General features: G+C 37.8%; 1 protein-coding gene and 2 pseudogenes across 21 annotated transcripts in view; 2 read left to right on the top strand and 1 right to left on the bottom strand.

Moving 5' to 3' along the window:
- ATP2C1 (ATPase secretory pathway Ca2+ transporting 1) overlaps nucleotides 1-22,020 on the bottom strand; it is a 166,118-nt gene that overhangs the window by 81,850 nt on the left and 62,248 nt on the right. For 20 of the 21 annotated variants that reach the window (NM_001378511.1, NM_001199180.2, XM_047447960.1 and 17 more), the window contains 3 exons: nucleotides 4,337-4,447; nucleotides 2,725-2,841; nucleotides 152-241 (listed from right to left, as the gene is read on the bottom strand). In NM_001378511.1, coding sequence (NP_001365440.1) covers nucleotides 152-241; nucleotides 2,725-2,841; nucleotides 4,337-4,447 — 318 coding nt within the window. The remainder of the gene's footprint in view (nucleotides 1-151; nucleotides 242-2,724; nucleotides 2,842-4,336; nucleotides 4,448-22,020) is intronic. The other variant, NM_001199182.2, reaches the window with a different exon arrangement.
- LOC100420298 (makorin ring finger protein 1 pseudogene) lies at nucleotides 6,578-7,113 on the top strand (annotated as a pseudogene).
- On the top strand, nucleotides 15,664-16,878 carry CSRP2P2 (CSRP2 pseudogene 2; annotated as a pseudogene).

The following is a 22,020-nucleotide window of genomic DNA, read 5'->3' as shown; positions in this document are numbered from 1 at the left end:
GAAACTGTCGCAACAAAAAGAATAAAATAAAAGCAGAATTTGGACACTGAAAAAAATCTGAGAGCACTTCTCAATTTATTTTCCAAAATAAAAACCAATCCCAATTTATACACTTACTCAACAGATTAAAAATATGTAATTTTTTTCTTACCACAGTGATACTGACGGCATCATCAAACTGATGCATTAAAACACTGATGACTGCAGAAGCCAGAAGCAGCATAATAAGGGGATTTTTAAACTGAAAGTAAAAACAAACAGCAATTCAACACAGTTTTGTACATGACAGTTCTCTCAGCAAAGGCTTTAAAAAAAAAAAACCATAAGAGCATGACTGGAAAATTACAAAAGTCTATACTCAGTTTATTTTATGTATCTCTTCAATTAACAAAAAAAGCGTTTATACTTAACTACATTTAAAAGCTTTTTAACAGTTCCTTTTCAGAAAAAAAAAATTAAATAGCAATACTTAAAACTAAGAATTAACCAATTCCTTATAGTATACAGCAATTTTTGGTATATTAATTTAAGAAATACAGCTGTTCTGAATTTCTACTGAGGCTAGAAAAAGCAGGAGAAGATGATTTTTAAGCTAAAAATTTGGGCGAAATACTGAATAGAACACTGAGATTCAAACATTTCTCAAGTACAATGGTGTAGATTACAATTCTGTGGTTGACTCACATATCACAGAAAAATTCCCTCCTCTCCACAAAAGAAACTGAAGATTTTCCTCAAGGCTAGCTTTCCTGGTTTCTATCTACCACAGCAAATCATATCAAAGAAACAGGACTATAGCATCAACCTGATCAGAAAGCATTTAAATGACCTCACACCAGAGTCAACCCCAAATTCTTCCAGTTGGACATTCTATTCCTTGAAACTCTGATGTTAGAATCTCTTCCTCTGCTAAAGTGTTACATCACTGTCAAAGTTGCAAAGTAATTAGGCTAAAAAGAATCCATCCCACCAGAAAGCCCCAGCCCTTAGATACCATAGCTCTGAGGTTACATGCCACCACCTCCAAAGCCCCTTTATGGTTCCATTCCCTGGAACAAGTCCCAATCCTTCTTCACATCGGAATCCTATAAGAAACTTTTAACAATACCAATGCCCAGATTCACACCAAGTTAATTAAATCAAAATCTTTAGGCATAAGGCCCAGGCTTTAGCATTTTTTAAGCACTCCCCAAGTGATTCTAACGAGGATTTTTAAAAAATAATAAGTTAAACTGCCCTAATAAAATAACACTGCAACTGCAATATGGTTCAGGGCTGACCAACCACAAACCTGACTGAGTCAGAGTACCTAGGTTTGAATCCAGTTGCTGGCATCTGTGTGTCACCTTAATCTTTTTAAGCTCCAGATTCTTCATCTGGTAAAACAGAACCTTATACCAAAGAACTGTTATAAGGATTAACTAAGAATGTACATTAAAGCACCGTGTAAACCAAAAAAAGTTCTTAAAAATGTTAGCTATTAACGTCACACTTTGAGGGCAAGACCCATGATCTTTTTTATTTTCCCCTAAAAAAGCTGTGCCACATTACTAAGCACACCACTTGATGGATGGCAGGCTGCAGAGGAATAAAGAATCACCCAGTGCTTTGTGATTACGATTACTATTTACTGTTATTTGTTTAGTTGTGCTTAACTACATTACAGGCACTATTTAATTCTCACAGGAATCCCAAGGGGCAGGTGCTCTAGCTTTGGTAACAGGATCAAGAAAGTAAAACATTAAATCATACTGCCTAGGGATAAGTCAAATCATTACAATTTATAAATCCAGAGTAAACTATGTTAATGCTTTCTGAAGTCTTTGGTAATGTGGGAATGTGGTAAGTATGAAAATACAAAGACACATATAAATAATATTCCATAAAAATAAGACATATACACACAAGGTTCATCCAACCTTTAAAATTCCAGTGTTGCTACTTTAGACAAACTCATTCGCAAAATTAAGCCTGGCAAATTTAAGCTCATTAGCAGAAAAGGCACTTTAGAAAAGTTAAACATAGATCGTTTTAGAAAGACCGCAGGTTAAAAGGCACAGACATTTACTAAAAAGAAGTTTTTAGCAAAAAATATTTGTTTAGCAAACCAACCTAATTACTTCAAAACTAATCATAGTAACCTGTAACTTTTTACATTAACACAATCGTTATCAAGATAAAAGCAGTCTAGAATAAGTCTTTCCTAAAATTTAGGATGAAAAAATATAAATAACTATCATCTACTGAGAGCTAACTATCTCCCGTAAGGTTATCATCACCATTTTATAGATAAGGCTCAGAGGATAATAAAGATGACACAACTGGTAAGAAATGAAGGTGTAATTTGTACCCAGGCAGCCTGAGTTTAACTTACCTAACTTACTTTTTACTAGTTTTCTGAGCTGGCCATGATTACCTTAAAAAATATTGCCAGTCCTATCATTTAAATAGTGTAGGTTTGATATCAGCAAAGGACACTACTGTCAACAGTATTATCTTTGTGTAATATACCCATATGGAAAATGTTGTCTTTAAGATTTACATACTAAAAATACAGGAATTCCAACCTAACAGTAAGCCCCAACAAATGAAAAATTTTAGGTAAAAAACATCTAAAAATTATTTCCTTTCTCCATAAACAGTATCACAAAAGTAAGCAACTACATAACAGAAGTCCATGTATTAATAAATTACACAGTAGAAGAGGAAGTAAAAGTATCTCACCTGAGAAATATACTTCTTCCACAGTGGCTCATCTTCACTAATATCAAACTCATTCCAGCCATGAAAGGCTCGCCTATGACTAACTTCACATTTGTTTAGACCATTCTGAAGATCAGCCTATTAGAGTTTATACATGAAAGTTATTGAAAATGTTAGCACAGAAAAGAAAAACACAAAAAAGCACATAATATAATGTATTATCACATTTACAGAAACTACAACAGTCAAAACTAGTCTATTATGAGAGCAACCTATCAGTGGTTGCCTGGGACCAGAAGTGACACATAGAGAGGGAGGGATTAATTACAAAGGGACATGGGGGAGCTTTCTGGAGTGATAAAAATGTTCTATCTTAATGGTGGTGGTGATTACATTTGTCAAAATGCAAATTGTACACTTTTAAAAAGTACATTGTATTTTATGTGAATTATATCTCAACAAAATTGATTTTTTAAAAAAAATGTAAACAAAAAGGCAGAGTTTACCAAACAAACAAAATTTAGGGAGAAAAATAACACAATCAGCCACAAGACTTACAGAAAGCATAACAGTACATTTTAATTAGCTTTTTCCTTTTCATTGTTGTTTCGCCATTTTCTAAAATTAGTTTCTCCCAAAGAACGTTCAATGGGCCATAAATGTCTTCCTTGTTCTCTGGGCCTATCAAAACCCTGGGGTTGGTATTAATTTATACTCTTGGACTGTGTAATTATTTCATGCTCAAATTTTGTGCTTCCTAAATTACTCAAAAGCAGTGAAGTTCAGATGAACTTCTTCTTGGAACAGTTTATGTTCTATAAACACTACCTACATCCTTCAGTTATTCTCTCTCATGATTTAGTATTCTAACTATTAAAGAATAAAATTATCTGTACCCCCAAAATAGTTGCCCTGACCAAAAGGTTATTATAATAGAGTCCAATAAAGGAGCCTTTCAAAACAAACATATTACAAATAAGTGGTTTTAAAGCAGAGTATAAATACAATAACAACAACAACAAAAACCTAAAAAAGGATACCCATGTTTTTAATGCTATCACTAAGATATGTGACTGCTGAAGGAAAAATAAAAAATATTATCTTTTTCATGTTTCGATAGATACTACTTTTGAAAACCAGGAAGAGCCTACATAAGCAATTACAGATTATCTGCAATTCTAAACTTGTACTTAAGTTTTTACTTTACCTTAGAAAACCCTTATCAAAAAAAGATAAACTCCTACCACTACTTACGTTAATTATTTTCCTAATCCAACCAATCCTTACACAGCACTAATATAGTTCCTAGAAAAGCTATTATGTTCTAGAGCTGCACTGTCCAATCAGGTAGCCACTAAGCCACCTGTAGTTATTTAAATAAATTTAAATTAAATTAAAGTCAGTTTCTCCATCACACTAGCCACATTTCAAGTCATATAGTCATGTTTAATTCTGTCAAGTTTAACCCCATGTCAAGCTCAACAGTCCTGTTCAACTTGTGGCTACTATGCTGAATGGCACAGAACAGAATATTTCTATCACTGAAGAAAAGTAAATTAGACAGCACTGTTTTATAGAGTCTAAGTGACTGACTTTACACCATCTAGTCCCTTCCTCCCCACTAACCACTTACTTGGAGAATGCTTGCAACTTCACTGACTGGTAATTCACTTGCTTTTTTTGATGTCAATACAGGAATCATTGTCTCATTTTCACCATTAGGTATTTTTTGAAAACGTGCAACCTAGGAAGTAAAACCAAAGAAAAAATATTTGAATATAGCAAACAAGTGTAATGCAGTCTAGAATAATAAAAATCCAAAAGTTCACAGCAACTAATTTTCCAGTTAGAAAAATATTTCAGACTAATTACGTAGCTAGTCCTAATAGGAAAGACAATTTTATACTAACCACATGCTACTTCTCAAGAAATTACATTTCAAAAACTAAGCCATCGGTGCCCAGCTAGAACACAAAATTTTCACATTGAATGAAAAGCACGCTATTTCTCCACCAACATAAGAGTAAAAAGTAAAACAGATGTCCTGTCTAGCAGATCCTGATGATTACAAATAATCATAATCCTCTAAACTCATTACGTTTAACATGCAAGACAAAGTACAGCTAAGCTTTCTCCATTTTAACTACTCCTCTTAGTCAGTCAGCTCATAGCTGATCTACCCAGAAAAGACAACTGGCTACTCTTTCAACGCACCATGACAACAAGTCAGACTTTAAGAGCTATTCACAAACTAGGAGAAAAACAAGAAGTAAAAGAGACCAGACAAGCAAAGGATGCACAGGTTAGTGAAGGGGAGCTGGTGGGAAGGGTGGGGAAGGCTGTGAACAAGCAGTTAGTCACGAGATAGTAGTAATCAAGGTACGTACTTGATGCAGCTTCATAAGTAATTATCTATAGCTACAGAAAACTGTTTAACACAACTCTAGAAATAAATCCTCAACACAGACTTGTTTTGAGTCCTAAGCTGAGATTCTTTACAGACAAAATGCTTTGAGTGAAAACAGAAGGGAGACAAAAGCTGCCCACTACTGAAACTTAAGAGACGAAAACACTTGAATTGCCACACATCCACTCAATTAAAATAATACTGAAACTAAAATTATCATCTTACTGCCCAGATACAAGTTTTTAAGCTGTCAGGTAAGATCTTTTCAACCTTGGATAATTAACATTTTTAGGATAAAATATTTCCCTAAAACTTTTAAAGCAGTATCTTTAAGCAAATGAAATCAAAGAAGATTCTACTACATTAGAGTGTCATTACAGAGGCCTGCACACATAAAGGCTTTTTGCATTTACTCCAAAAAATAGTAAATTGCTGAGGAAAAAAAGTCTTCTCTCAGTATGACTGAGTTTCTGGAACAATCAAATTCATGTTTTCTAATCTTATTTATGTAAAAAGTACAGTTGGACGTTTAAATACTTTAAAACAAAGAGCAGTAGTATTTTTCAACTTTTAATGAGGAGATATCGGTGAATAAATATGAGGAAACTAGAGACAGATTACCTTTCTTTACTGCAAATTACTGAAATTATTTTATAGCATAATATTTTTACATAATTAAGAAATGTAAAAACTTAGAGAAAAGATTAGGAATTTTACAAAAGCTACACACATGTTTTAGAGCCACTGAAATGCCCTTATTTCAAATCTATAAAACAAACTAGGACAGGGGAAAGACTTCATTGAACCGTTCCTAAGTAAAACATTGGAGAAGATTCCCCCCAAAATGATTTAAATCTTAAAACAATGAGAATTGAAATAGATGACATAGTTATTTCATCTTGTGAGATCATAAAGCAAAATTAAGAAGAATCAAATATATTTACACTGCCTGCAGTGACAGATCAATAAAATCTCTTATTTCTAAGATCCCCAAACCTCATCTTCTTCATATATATAACCTGGGGATAATATGGCTAAACAGAGATGTTTGAGGATTAAATACACTAACACAGCATTTGACTTACCACTAGTAAGAGCTCAAATGACAGCTATTAATACTTTTCTTCCAACAAGGTCAATACAGACTAAACAAGGTGAGTAAAGTCAGTTCATGATAATTTCCTATTAATGTTTACTTTTCTATCAATAATATATTGGAAATTGCTAACTCTAGTACCCAGCATGCAATATGACAGCCTTACTCATAAAATGTTTCTCAACTAATCCTTTGGTAGTTGGTATATAGATAGGGTCTACATTTGAACACACTTTACATAAAACCCTTTGGGGGTATTCCATGGGCTCAAAGTAGCTGTAAATCTCCAGAGTAGGAAACGGTATTATTTCATATAATAAACAATAAAACACTAAAGGGGCATGATACTCTCTAAATATATAAAGGGCTGCTTTGAGATGCTCTCCAGCTGCAACCACACCTGCACCTCAAGTGTGTTCACAAGTGGAGGAGTACTAAGCAACAGAAAAGCAAGATGGTAAAGTCCATCCCAGAATGCCAGGCCATATTTAACTTTGTCATTCCACATGAGTACTGCGTGGAGTAGAAGGTAGCAGAAACTCATTTCAGGAATACAAGGAGATGAAGAGTGATAAGGCATGTAGGTATTTTAACGAAGAACATGGAAGCTGCCCATTTGGAGAGAATTGTTCCAAGTCTGCCTACCCTGATGGTGGTAAAAGGAGCCAGAGACAGAAAATGGGAACATAAACAGATACAGGGCCCAAGGAAGGAACCAACTCTGGGAGCTCACTGAGGAAACAGAACAGCAACCCCTTTGACAACAGTGACAAGAGTCTGTCATCTTTGAGATAGGTGAGATGCTGCTTAAGCTCTGTCTGCAGGTGGAGATGATGACCTGACAGTCTCTGATGATAAATGCAGCTTGTTTCATGATAAGCTAGATGATTTTTACAATTTGAATATACAGCAACATTGCATGGCGTGTGAACTAGTCTGCTGAGACTCAGATGGTGGCTGTCCCCTGTGGTCATATAGCAGTTGCCTGTTTCTTTCCTAGGCAGGCCTAATCAACTCCAGGTGCAGTCATAATAATTTTTACCCAGAGCTGGTTTTCTCAATCCTTCATCTTTCCCCAAGGAATATACTGTTTTCTCTATTTTAAAAAGTTAAAAAGGCCGGGCATGGTGGTTCACGCCTGTAATCCCAGCACTTTGGGAGGCTGAAGCGGGCGGTTCACAAGGTCAGGAGATCGAGACCATCCTGGCTAACATAATGAAACCCCGTCTCTACTAAAAAATACAAAAAATTAGCCAGGCATGGTGGCAGGCGCCGGTAGTCACAGCTACTCAGGAAGCTGAGGCAGGAGAATGGCATGAACCCGGGAGGCAGAGCTTGCAGTGAGCTGAGATCACGCCACTGCACTCCAGCCTGGGCGACAGAGCGAGACTCTGTCTCAAAAAAAAAAAAAAAGTTAAAAAAAAAATCTTAAAGATGGTTTTCTTGTGAAATAAATTTAACTACCAGTTAGTATATGTAGGTTTGTTGTTTTACCTGTTTTCAACCAGATTCACATAGTACTTATATAGTGTTTATGAACTTTCCATATTCATTTTGAGGACACCAGATACAAAACTAAAAGCACTGGCCCTGCTTTGGGGTCCAAGAATAGAGGTGAAGGGTAAAAGGATCTGATGTGGCAAGCAGACTTCTGCTACAGACTGAAGAGGTGGGTCCTTGAGATTTCCAGTGAAATATGTACATCCGTGTTTATATAGCTGTTTTCTACCAAGATGGTATAATTCCTACTATGTGTACTTGCTCACTGGTTTCATTGCACACAAGAATACTACTGGGCAACCAAAACCAGGCGCAAATGTGTTGAGATGTTTAATGTGTTTCACATGATAGGAAAACAGCGAAAGAACACATATAAAGATCACATGCATAAAATACACATGGAGTTGGAAGGCGACGCCCAAGGGCTGAGAGACCTGGTATGTGAGCGTGAGTGTGTGTGATAAGGTTCTCATCCCTGCATACATGTGACATTCCTAGCCTTAGTAGAAAAACTTGGTTTAATAGTTTGAGCCTAGTATGGCAGACACATTTTAAAGGACAAAGCAGTATACTGGTAGTTATTACCATACAGCAGTGCTAGTTTTGTCTACATATTTATAGAAATGAGGATTAGCCAGAGCAGTTAAAACGATCTGGTTATCCCATATATTAACACATACTGGGTCTTGGATATACTATTTTATTTAATGTTTTAGTATCACCTAGGCTTTCCAGTTCAAGTACTTTTTGAAAACCTTTATCTCCTCATTGGAGTAGTTTTGCTATCCAGTTTTTGTGTTTGTTTTATTTGCCTCGTTCCATGCCTGAACTTTGTAGGTAGATACACATTATTCGAAACTATATCTAGATGCTCAAATTAAGATGGTGGATAGGAGGCAGGACTAGCTTGTATCTCCCATTCTGACAGACAGAGCAACATGTGGAGACTCACATCATGAACTTTTGCTACAATACAAGAACTACCACAGGAACAAACCAGGAAAGCCAAGAGAATCCACAGACCCTTTGAAGAAATTGGATCACCACTGCAGGTTCTCTGGGAGGCCTAAAAACTATGAGTCCATTTGCTTTCTCAAGGGGGAGGCTTGTGGTCTGGGGCAAAGTATCCACCCTGGTAACCGGCTACCTGGAAAAAGACTTGGTGATGTTGGGGAGGCATGATGGAAGTGAGACCAGCCTTTAAGACCACAGGTTGCATGGAAGCAAGGTAAGGTCTGTGACTGCCAGCTTTCCCCCACTTCCCTGGTGGCCTGTATGACTCAGCAGAGGCAGCCACAATCCCCCTGGGACTATAACTCCACTGGACTGGGAACCACACCCTCACCCCACCCCCCGCAACAGCAGCTGCAGCAAGCTCACCCAAGGAGAGGCTGAGACACCCCTATTCCTGCCCCCACCTCGTAGTCTTTCTCTAGCCATCCTGGTAGCCAAAGACAAAGGTCATAATCTCTTGGGAGCTCTATGGGCCTGCTCACTGCCTGAGAAACCTGAATACTTGACCAAGTGTCTCTAGGGCAAATGTGCATCCTCCCTGTAGCACCACAGCTGATATGCTCTTGAAAGTGCCAACTCCCAGCTGGAGGACAACCAACACAAAACCAGCACACTAAACAAAAACACAACCAAGGACCCTCACAGAGTCTACTTCACTCCCCAGCTACCTCCACCAGAGCAGGTACTAGTATCCACAGCTGCAAGACCTGAAAACGGATCACATCATAGGACTCTTTACAGACACTCGCCAGTACTAGCCTGGCACCTGGTAGCTCGACTGGGTGGCTAGACCCAGAAGAGCAAAAACAATCACTACAGTTTGGCACTCAGGAAGCCCCATTCCTAGGGGAAAGGGGAGAACACCACATCAAGGGAGAACCCCATGGGACAAAAGAATCTGAAAAGCAGCCCTTGAATCCCAGATCTTCCCTCTGACATAGTCTACCCAAATGAGAAGGAACCAGAAAAACAATTCTGGTAATATGACAAAACAAGGTTCTTTAACACCACCAAAAGATCGTACCAGCTCATCAGCAATGGATCCGAACAAAGACGAACTCTCTGAATTGCCAGAAAAAGAATTTAGAAGGTCAATTATTAAGCTAATCAAAGGAGGCACCAGAGAAAGCTGAAGTCCAACTTAAAGAAATCAAAAACATGATACAGGATATAAAAGGAAAATTCTTCAGTGAAATATATAGCATAAATAAAAAACAACCACAACTTCTGGAAATCAAGGACACACTTAGAGAAATGCCAAACGCACTGGGAAGTCTCAGCAATAGAATCGAACAAGCAGAAGAAAGAACTTCAGAGACAGAAGACAATGCTTTCGAATTAACCCAATCTGCCAAGATAAAGAAAAATTATTTTAAAAAAAATAAACAAAGCATCCGTGAAGGCTGGGTCTACGTTAAACATCCAAAGCTAAAAATAATTCGTGTTCCTGAGGAAGAAAAGAAATTTGAAAGTTTGGAAAACATATTTCAGGAAATAATCAAGGAAAACTTCCCCGGTCTTGCTAGAGATCTAGACATCCAAATCTCAAGAGGCTCAAAAATACCTGGGAAATTCATCATAAAAAGATGGCCCAGGCACATAGTCATCATTACCTAAAGTCAAGATGAAGGAAAGAATCTTAAGAGCTGTGGGGCAAAAGTATCAGGTAACCTATAAAGAAAAACCTATCAGATTAACAGTGTATCTTTCAGCAGAAACCCTACAAGCTAGAAGGGACTGGGGTCCTATATTTAGCCTCCTTCAACAAAACAATTATCAGCCAAGAATTTTGTATCCAGCAAAACTAAGCTTCATAAATGAAGGAGAGATAAAGTCTTTATCAGACAAACAAATGCTGGGAGAATTTGCCACTACCAAACCAGCACCACAAGTTCTAAATCTTGAAACAAAACCTCAAAATACACCAAAATGGAACTTCCTTAAAGCATATATCTCACAGGGCCTATATAACAATGATGCAATGAAAAAAAAAAACAAAAACAAAAAACTAAGGGATTAAGGCAACAACTAGCATGATGAAAACAACAGTACCTCACATCTAAATACTCACGTTGAATATAAATGGCCTAAATACTCCACTTAAAAGATACAGAATGGAAGAATGGATAAAAATCCACGAACCAAGGATCTGCTGTCATCAAGAGACTCACCTAACACAGAAGGACTCACATAAGATAAAGGGATGGAAAAAGATATTCCATGAAAATGGAAACCAAAAGCAAGCAAAGGTAGTTATCCTTTTTTTTTTTTTTTTTTTGAGACAGAGTCTCACTTCATCACCCAGGTTAGAGAGCAGTATGCAATCTAGACTCCCTACAACCTTCACCTCCTGGGTTCAGCTATTCTCCCACCTCAGCCTCCCAAGTAGCTGGGATTACAGGCGTGAGCCACCACACCTGGCTAATTTTTGTATTTTAGTAGAGACATGGTTTCACCATGTTTGCAAGGCTAGTCTTGAACTCCTGACCTCAAGCAATCCACCCACCTATGCCTCCCAAAGTGCTAGGATTACAGGTGTGAGCCACCACTTCCGGCCTAGAAGTAGTTATTCTTATATCAGACAAACTAGACTTCAAAGCAACAACAGTTAAAAAAGGACAAAGGAGGCCAGGTGTGGTGGCTCACGCCTGTAACCCCAGCACTTTGGAAGGCTGACACAGGTGGATCATAAGGGCAGGAGTTCGAGACCAGCATGGTGAAAACTCGTTTCTACTAAAAATACAAAAAATTAGCCAGGCATGGTGGTGTGTGCCTGTAATCCCAGCTACTCGGGAGGCTGAGGCAGGAGAATTGCTTGAACCTGGGAGGCAGAGGTTGCAGTGTGCCAAGGTCGCACCACTACACTCCAGCCTGGGTAACAGAGCAAGACTCTGTCTCCAACAAAAAAAAAAAGAAAGACAAAGAGGGATATTATATAACGATAAAAGGACTAGTACAACAGGAAAATGTGGCAATCCTAAATATATATGCACCTAACATTGAAGCTCCCAAATTTATAAAACAATTACTACTATGCCTAAGAAATGAGACAGACGGCAACACAATAATAGTGAGGGAACTTCAATAATCCACTGACAACACTAGACAGGTCACCAAGACAGAAAGTCAAGAAAGAAACAATGGACTTAAGACTATACCCTACAACAAATAGACTTAACAGATATTTACAGAACATTCTACCCAACAATTGCAGAATATACATTCTTTTCACCAGCAGATGGAACATTCTCCAAGACAGGCCATATGATACGCCATTAAACAAGACTCAATAAATTTATGAAAACTGAAATTATATGAAGTATCCTCTCTGACCACAGTGGAATAAAACTGGAGATTAACTCCAAGAGGAACCCTCAAAACTACATAAATACATAGAAATTAAATAATCTTCTCTTGAATGACGACTTCAAGTCAATAATGAAACCAAAATGGAAATTTTAAAATTCTATGAACTGAGGGGTAACAGTGACACAACTTATCAAAACCTCTGAGACAGAGCAAAAGCAGTGCTAAGAGGAAAGGTCACAGCATTAAATGCCTACATCAAAAAGTCTGAAAGAGCACAGACAATCTAAGGTCACACCTCAAGGAACTAGAGAACAAGAACAAACCAAACCTAAGCCCAGCAGAAGAAAATAAGTAACAAAGATCAGAGCAGAACTAAATGAAATTGAAACAAAAAATTACAAAAAATAAATGAAACAAAAAGCTGGTTCTTTAAAAAAAAATAAACAAAATCAATAGACCATTAGCAACATTAGCCAAGAAAAGAAGAGACAAGATCCAAATAAGCTCAATTAGAAATGAAACAGGAGATATTACAACTGATAACACAGAAATAGAAAAGATCATTCAAGGCTACTATGAACACTTTTACATGCACAAACTAGAAAATCCAGAGGAGATGGTTAATTTCCTAGAAATATAAAACTCTCCTAGATTAAATCAGGAAGATACAGAAACTCTGAACAGACCAATAACAAGTGGTGAGACTGAAACAGGAATGAAAAAATTGCCAACAAAAAAAAAGTCCAGTACCAGATGGATCTACAGCTGAATTATTTCAGACATTCAAAGAAATTTGGTACTACCGTTACTGAAACTATTCCTAAAGATAAAGAGGGAATCCTCCGTAAATCATTCTATGAAGCCAGTATCACCCTAACACCAAAACAAGGGAAGAATATAACAAAAAAAGAAAATTACAGACCAATATCCTTAATAAATATAGATGCAAAACTTCCCAACAAAATACTAGCTAACTGAATCTAACAGCCTATCAAAAAGGTAATACACCATGATCAAGTGGGTTTCATACCAGGGAAATCTACTGACCCTTGTGATGCAAGGATGATTCAACATATAAAAAATGTATTAATATACCACATTAACAGAATCAAAGATAAAAATCACATGATCATCTCAATAGATGCAGAAAAAGCATCTGACAAAAATCAACGCCCTTTCATTATAAAAACTCTCTACAAACAAGGAATAAAAAGAAAGTAACATAATAAAGACTGTATATGAAAAGCCCACAGCCAACATTATATTCAATAGCAAAAAACAGAAACTTTTCCTGAAAGATCAGGAACAAAGCAAGGATGCCCACTCTCCCTACTTCAGTTCAACATAGTACTGGAAATCCTAGCCAAAGCAATTAAGCAATAAATTAAATGCTTAATAAAATAAAAAAAATACATCCAAATCAGAAAGGAAGTAGTAAAATTGTCCCTTTTGGGCCAGGCACAGTGGCCCATGCCTATAATCCCAGCACTTTGGGAAGCCGAGGTGGGCGGATCACTTGAGGTCAGGAGCTTGAGACCAGCCTAGCCAACATGGTGAAACCCCATCTCTACTAAAAATACAAAAGTTAGTCAGGTGTGGTGGCAGGCACCTATAATCCCAGCTACTTCGGAGGCTGAGGCAGGAGAATCACTTGAACCTGGGAGGCGGAGGTTGCACTGACCCAAGACTGTGCCCCTGCACTCCAGCCTGGGAAACTGTGCGAGACTCCGTCTCAAAAAAAAAAAAAAAAAAAAGAAAGAAAACTCGCAAGATTCCATTTTTAAAAAACTGTTAGAATAAACAAATTGAGTAAAGTAGCAGGATACAAAATCAACATATAAAAATCAGTAATGTTTCCATACACTAACTATCTGAAAAGGACATTAGGAAAACAATCTCATTTACAATAGAAAAAAATTAACTACCTAGGAATAAACTTGAATGAGGTGACAGGTTTGTTTATTGAAAACCAGAAAACAATGAATGAAATTAAACAAGACACACAAAAAAACAGAAACACCTATGCTCACGTTTTGTTAAGACTTAGTATTTTTAAATGCCAATATTACTCAAAGTGATCTATAAATTCTACGCAATCACTATCAAAATTCCAGTGGTATTTTTTATAGAAATGGAAAAACGATTCTAAAATTCATATGGAACCACAAAAGACCATAAATAGCCAAATCAATCTTGTAAAAGAACAAAGCTGGAGGCATCATACTTCCTGATTTCAAAATATATTAATATTACAAAGCTACCATAATCTAAACAGTATGGTATTGGCATAAAGACGGACATATAGAGCCACAAGAACACAGAAAGAAAGCCTAGAAATAAGTCCACACACATATGGTCAACTGATCTTCAACAAAGATGCCAAGAATATACAATGAGGAAAGGAATGGCATCAGGAAAACTTCATATCTACATGTAAAAACCTAAAAAAAATAAACTGGGCCCTTTTCTTACACCATACACAAAAATCAACTGAAAATGATTTAATAAACCTAAGACATGAAACTAAAACTCTTAGAAGAAAACATACAGGAAAAGCTTCATGACACTGGTGTCGGCGATTATCTCAAGGATTTAATACCAAAAGCATAAGCAACCAAAACAAAAATAAACAAGTGGGACTACATCAAACTAAAAAGCTTCTACGCAGCAAAAGAAACAATTAACAGAGTAAAAGGCAACCTACGGAATGAGAGAAAATATTTGCAAACATCTGACAAGGGGCTAGTCTCCAAATATATAAAGAACTCCAATAATTCAACAGTAAAAAAACACAAATAACTCAACTTAAAAATGTGCTAAGGACATCAACAGACATTTCTCCAAACATATACAAATGGGCAGTAAGCACATGAAAAGATGCTCATCATTAACCATTAGGGAAATGAAAATCAAAACCACAACACAATATTACCTCACACCTGTAAGGAAAACTATTATCAAAAAACCAAAACAAAACAAAACACAACTACTGTTGGTGAGGATGTGAAGAAATTGGAATCCTGTTGGTGGGAATGCAAAATGGTGCAGCCACTATGGAAAAAAGTATGAAGCTTCCTCAAAAATTTAAAAACAGAACTACCATATATTCCAGAAGTCCCACTTTGGGGTATTTATCCAAAAGAATGAAATCAGGATCTCAAACGGATATTACCACTCCGATGTTCACCACAACACTATTCACAATGTGATAGTGATAGCTGCAGAAACCTAATGTCCACCAACAGATGAAAGGATTTTTAAAATGTGGAATATATGTACAATGGAATACTATGTAGCCTTAAAAAAGAAACTCTAGGCCGGGCGTGGTAGCTCATGCCTGTAATCCTAGCACTTTGGGAGGCTGAGGCAGGCGGATCACCTGCAGTAAGGAGTTCGACAACAGCCTGGTTAACATGGTAAAACCCCTTCTCTACTATAAAAATTAGCTGGGTGTGGTAGTGGGCGTCTATAATCCCAACTACTCGGGAGGCTGAGGCAGGAGAATCGCTTGAACCTGGGAGGCAGAGGTTGTAGTAAGCTGAGATCGCGCCATTGCACTCTAGCCTCGGCGAAAAGAGCAAAACTCTCTCAATAAAAAAAAAAGAAAGAAAGAAAGAAATTCTAAAATTCTAGCGATCTCGGACTCCCTGGACACTCCCTCCAGCCCAGCCTCTCTAGCTCCGCCTGTGATGCGTGCTCCTGCCTCCAACTCAAAATGCCTGCGTGGAGAGGTGGAAACAAGTGTGGGGTCTGCGGGAGGGCCGTGCACCACGCAGAAGAGGTGCAGTGTAATGGCAGGAGCTTCCACCGCTACTGCTTTTTGTTTGTTTGTTTGTTTGTTTAAGACGGAGTCTTGCTCTGTTGCCCAGGCTGGAGTGCAGTGGCGCGATCTAGGCTCACGGTAAGCTCCGCCTCCCGGGTTCACGCCATTCTCCTGCCTCAGCCTCCCGAGTAGCTGGGACTACAGGCACCCGCCACCATGCCTGGCTAATTTTTTTGTATTTTTAGTAGAGACCGGGTTTCACCATGTTAGCCAGGATGGTCTCGATCTCCTGACCTCATGATCCGCCCGCCTCGGCCTCCCAAAGTGCTGGGATTACAGGCGTGAGCCACCGCGCCCGGCCCACTGCTGCTGCTTTCTATGCATGATTTGCAGGAATAATTTAGATAGCAAGACAGTGGCAATTCATGATTAAGAGATTTACTGCAAATCCTGCTATGGAAAGAAGTATGGGCCAAAAGGCTACAGTTTATGGCCAGGGCGCTGGCATACTTAACATGGACCGTGGTGAGAGCCTGGGCATCAAGCCAGAGTGTTCAGCCTCACATGCCTACAAGCAAATCCAAAGACTTCTAAATTTGCTCAGAAATACAGAGGTGCTGAGAAGTGTTCCAGATGTGGGGATTCCGTACATGCTGCTGAGAAGGTAACTGGAGCTGGAAAGCCCTGGAACAAAAACTATTTCCGATGTGCAAAGTGTGGGAAGAGTCTTGAATCAACAACTCCTGACTGAAAAAGAAGGTGAAATCTATTGTAAAGGGTGCTATGCAAAGAACTTTGGGCCCAAGGGATTTGGCTATGGCCAAGGAGAGGGCTCTTGTTCATGCCCAGTAAGGTGTAAACCCAGAACCAAGCATCACACACTGAGAATCTCTTCATAATCTAGGCACAGATAATCTTTCTAAACTACTGCAAAATTCTACCAGCATTAAGTACTATATATTACCCTGTACTCGGATAGGCTGGCTAACTCGTAGGAAGGGAGCACTATATCTTATCCTTTTGCTTTATTCGCCAGCATTTTTTGGGAACCATTTCTTTTACAATTTAAATAAAACTTCAGCTTGAAAAAAAAAAGAAATTCTACAAAATGGCACAACATGGGTGAATCTTGAGGACACCATGCTAAGTGAAATAAGCCAGTCACAAAAAGACAAATGACTGCATAACTCCACTATCTAAAATAATACAAATTCATAAAAATCAAAGAGTGGAATGATGGTTAGCAGAGGCTGGGAGAAGGGGAAATGGAGAGTAGCTAATCAAAGCTCATGAAGTTTCAGTCAGTCAAGATGAATAAGCACTAGAGAGCTGCTGTACAACATTGTACCTATAGCCAACAATAATGTATACTTTAAAATTCATTAAGAGGCTAGATCTCTTTACCACAATATTTTTAAGAGAATATTTTTGCAAGTAAAACAAAAAAGTTTTCACCTGATCCCAAGTTTTACTAGTGTTTTTAAATGTCGAGGTAAAATAAAAGCAAAAGTTTTACATCTTAATTTTTAGCACACACTACCATGTAAGCAAGATTCAGAAATAATACTCTGGCACTCATTCCCAGCTGTTATGTGTTAAACACAATTGCAAACCATCTATAACACAACAAAATCTAAAGTCTTACTTAGATAAAACAAATCCAAAGGCGTTCACATATTATTAATCTGCTTTTAAAAAAAAGAAATGTCTTTTACCTGGTAGTTAAGTTTATCTTCATAGAATCCACTATTCTCCTCAACTGCAATGGGATAATATGCCAACAAATCCATCATAAGTTGAAAGTAACAAGTCAAAAATGCATTTCATACACCTAACCTACCGAAGCGAACATCATAGCTTAGCATAGCCTATTTTAAACACACTCAGCAACACTTACATTAGCCTACAGTTGAGCAAAATAATCTAATACAAAGCCTATTTTATAAAGTGTTGACTATCTCATGTATTTAATAAATAATACTGTACTGAAAGTGAAGAACAGAAGTACAGTTTCTACTGAATGTCTACTGCTTTCACACCATCGTGAAGTTGAAAAATCCTAAGTCAAACCATCACAAGTCACGGACTTGTGTGTACTTCATTTATAGTAACCAATGACCTTAGCTGCTTTAAGGATATAATCAGGGAAGTGAAATCAGTCAGTACACATTGATTTACAAAAGCTATGTTTAGAAAAACCAATCCTCAACATGAGTAAGAAAAGTGGGCAAGAAAACACCATTTGTATGGTTTTTGGACAATAAAAAGATAGAGAACTGAGAGCTGAATAAAAAAAGAAAAAGAAAAATTGAGCTGTCGAGTGGCTGAATAAAAAAAGAAAAAGGAGAACTGAGGGGTCAAGTTACACATAAAGGTAAGACATTAAAGATTCAAACAGTCCTCCACTTCATTAATCAGGGAACTTGAATTCTGCCTGCAATGGTACCAGCTGTTTCCCCGCTAAGGCAAAAGAAATTGGTACTGCAGCAATACATAATGGCTTTGAAAAGAAAAAAAGAAGAAAGAAAAAATATATATATAAATTTAAGCACAAATTTAATCTTTAACCCTACTAATCAATCACCTTTTGGGCCCGTCCTCCAAGAAAATCATAGTTTCGACCTCACTTTATTTTTTTATTTATTTTTATTTTTTGAGATGGAGTCTTGTTCTGTTGCCCAGGCTGGAGTGCAGTGGCGCGATCTCTGCTCACTGCAACCTCTGCCTCCCAGGTTAAAGCAATTCTTCTGTCTCAGCCTCCCAAGTAGCTGGGATTACAGGCACATGCAGCCATGCCTGGCTAATTTTTTGTTTTTTTTTTTTTTTGAGTAGAGACAGGGTTTCACCGTGTTGCCCAGGCTGGTCTCAAACTCCTAAGCTCAGGCAATCCACCCACCTCAGCCTCCCAAAGTGCTAGGATTACAGGCGTGAGCCACTGTGCCTGGCCTCCACCTCACTTTAAATACTCATACTCCATGAGGATCTCTAAAAGGAATGTTACCTAATAGGAGACTATAAGAATCCTATTTATTAACTATACTTAAATATTCTGTTGTCACAAATAAGTTTGCTTTACATGTCCCAGTAATGCTGCCCTTCACATATAAGGATGGCTAATCCTCTGTTATTAAGATACATAACCCATTTATTTAGTGACAGTGGATTTGGACTGACTCAGAACGCCTCAGGCTAAATATAAATGGCTAAATATAAAATCTAAAACCACACTACTGAAGTGGCATATGTAGAAGAGGTCTACCACTGAGTCCCTTTGTCTGAAATGCTTGTAGCACATTTCTGCAGGCAAAAGCCAGGTCCAGCCTGCACACTCCATACCCTACACTAAGCTTTTAGGCCTCATTCCTTCTATGAGCTTTTTTGTGTTGGCTTGCGACAACCCTGAACCGATTACTCACACTCAGTCCCCTACCACGTAACTATCACTGCTCATCCAAACGTGTTTTTCCCTCAACTACACTATAAACTCAATAGCTACAAGAACTGCAGGTCACACAAACCAACACTCACTATGCCTGGCATATAGCTGGTACTCAGTAACTGCTAAATAAAAGGATAAATGAAAAACTAAGCTAAGTAACAGACTTTTTCCCTAATTTTTCAACTAACACTATATCCCTAAACAAAAACTGTACATTCTTATAATTAAGAATGAATTAGGCCGGGCGCAGTAGCTCATACCTGTAATTCCAGCATTTTGGGAGTCTGAGGCGGGTGGATCACTTGAGGTCAGGAGTTCGAGACCAGCCTGGCCAACATGGTAAAACCCTGTCTCTACTACAAATACAAAAATTAGCTGGACGTAGTGGCAGGCGCCTTTAATCCTAGCTACTTGGGAGGCTGAGACAAGAGAATCGCTTGAACCCAGGAGGCGGAGGTTGCAGTGAGCCAAGATCACGCCATTGCACTCCAGCCTGGGCAACAGAGTGAAACATCGTCTCAAGGGGGGGAAAAAAAAAAAACCCAGAATGAATTAATCCCAGTAAGTTCACAATTAACTCTTTTCTTTCCCAATCTTTACTAAGAGGTAGGAAGGAACCCTCCTGTCATCCAAAGCAACAAACAAGTCAAAGAAGATTCAACAATCCAACTGCTTTCCCGTAGGTGCTAATGCTCTATTTGCTCTGTATTATAACAACTGCAGAATATCCAGATGGTTCTCATACTTATTCACAAATAATTGGGCTTCTTCTATTGAAATCTATGTTCCCCATGTTTTCATGTTCAAGGTATGTTATGGGGTAGGGAGGTAGAACGTGAAAGGGATGGGCAATCAAAATCTTAGTCAAGCAAGTTAGTCCCACCTACACAACTACTTGCCTAACATCTATCAGTAATTCACATTTATGTTTTTAATTCCTTGCTTCAACTTCCAATCCTTTTATTAAGATATAATCAAAGACACCCTCTACTTAGGAGGCTAAAGCAGAAGATCAAGAGTTCAAGCCCAAGCTAGGCAAAATACCAAGACCCCATTTCCTTGCCCCCCAAAAAAGACAAAGACACCCCAGAATGATATTATTGAACACAAAGTAGCCAAAAGTAATTCAACATGAGTTACTAACCTGAATGGGTTTTTTCTTGTAAAACTATAGGGCTTGGCTGGTCTGAAGGCAGTTGAGTTATCTCAACTGATTGTTCACAGTCAGTTACAGATCCAACACCTTTCTACTCTTTCTCCCTTCTCACTGAAATGCACTTGACTAGTTAAAACAAATCAAAAAAAAAACAAACAAAAAAACCTATATGGCTTAAGCCTTAAACTAAAGAACAAAAATGTTTAGCTATGAAACTTTCACAGGGCACTTTCATTTTAAAAGATCAACTATTTATCCTTAAAGGATCTGCAAGAAATACACTGTTTTTAGTTTGAAGCTTTGAGTTAAAAAAAAAGTCTAAAACTCTACTGATTTCACATTTAGTCATTTATATGTTATCACAGTAACAGTTGGAGGAAACATAATAGGAAGAAGAGTACTAAGGAGGAGGAGGAGGAGGGAAAGAGCAGGTTTGCCCGTTAAGCTGCTAAGTACCAGTGCTTGATGCTGAGTGCTTTATTTCTAATACTTCACTTAATCCTCGGAAAACAATCTGAAGAGGGCATTATTTTTACTACTTTTTTAGATAGGGAAATTAAAGATTAAAGAAGTAATGTGCCCAACACAAAAAGAAATTAACAAAACTAGTAAGTGATATGGCCAGGAACCGAACCATTGTGTAACACTAAAAGTCCTCCTTCTTAACTATTGTACAATATTTAAATTAGTCAGGTCATCCAAAAGTTTCAAAGTAAATCCAGTTTAGGGGACTAATTTTAGTATAGTGAGACTAGATTTAAGATCTAAGAATACAGGCTTCTTTTTAACCAAAAGCAAACTTAGTGCAAAGAATCTTTTCATCCTTCCACCTCCCCTCTTCCCCCATACACACACCAAAAAAATCTTAAATAAATACAGCAGATTTTAACTTTGGAAAAGGAGAAAACAATCATTTAAAAACAGCATGTCTTAAGTACAGTAAGGCTGTACAGTCTTCTGATGCCAACAAGACATTTTATAAACACTGTCACATGAAAATACACAGCTAAACTGCATAATTTCTGACAGGTGGGCCAGTAGTATTAATAACTCAGTACCACTAGGTATGCCACGAGGCTCTATTCTGTTAATATTTTATCAACAACTCAGATAAATACTGAATAGCATACTTATCCAAGATGACATTAACTCAAGGCTGGAGAGGGATACCCACCTTGCCTCATAACCAAAACAAAATTCTTTTTTTTTTTTAAATTTATTTATTTTTTATTATACTTTAAGTTTTAGGGTACATGTGCACATTGTGCAGGTTAGTTACATATGTATACATGTGCCATGCTGGTGTGCTGCACCCACTAACTCGTCATCTAGCATTAGGTATATCTCCCAATGCTATCCCTCCCCCCACCCCACAACAGTCCCCAGAGTGTGATATTCCCCTTCCTGTGTCCATGTGGTCTCATTGTTCAATTCCCACCTATGAGTGAGAATATGTGGTGTTTGGTTTTTTGTTCTTGCGATAGTTTACTGAGAATGATGATTTCCAATTTCATCCATGTCCCTACAAAGGACATGAACTCATCATTTTTTATGGCTGCATAGTACTCCATGGTGTATATGTGCCACATTTTCTTAATCCAGTCTATCATTGTTGGGCATTTGGGTTAGTTCC

Source organism: Homo sapiens, chromosome 3 (genome assembly GCF_000001405.40).
Source record: "Homo sapiens chromosome 3, GRCh38.p14 Primary Assembly".
NCBI lineage: Eukaryota > Metazoa > Chordata > Mammalia > Primates > Hominidae > Homo > Homo sapiens.
Note: the sequence above shows the minus strand (reverse complement) of the source record. Positions and strands in the feature narration are given on the sequence as shown.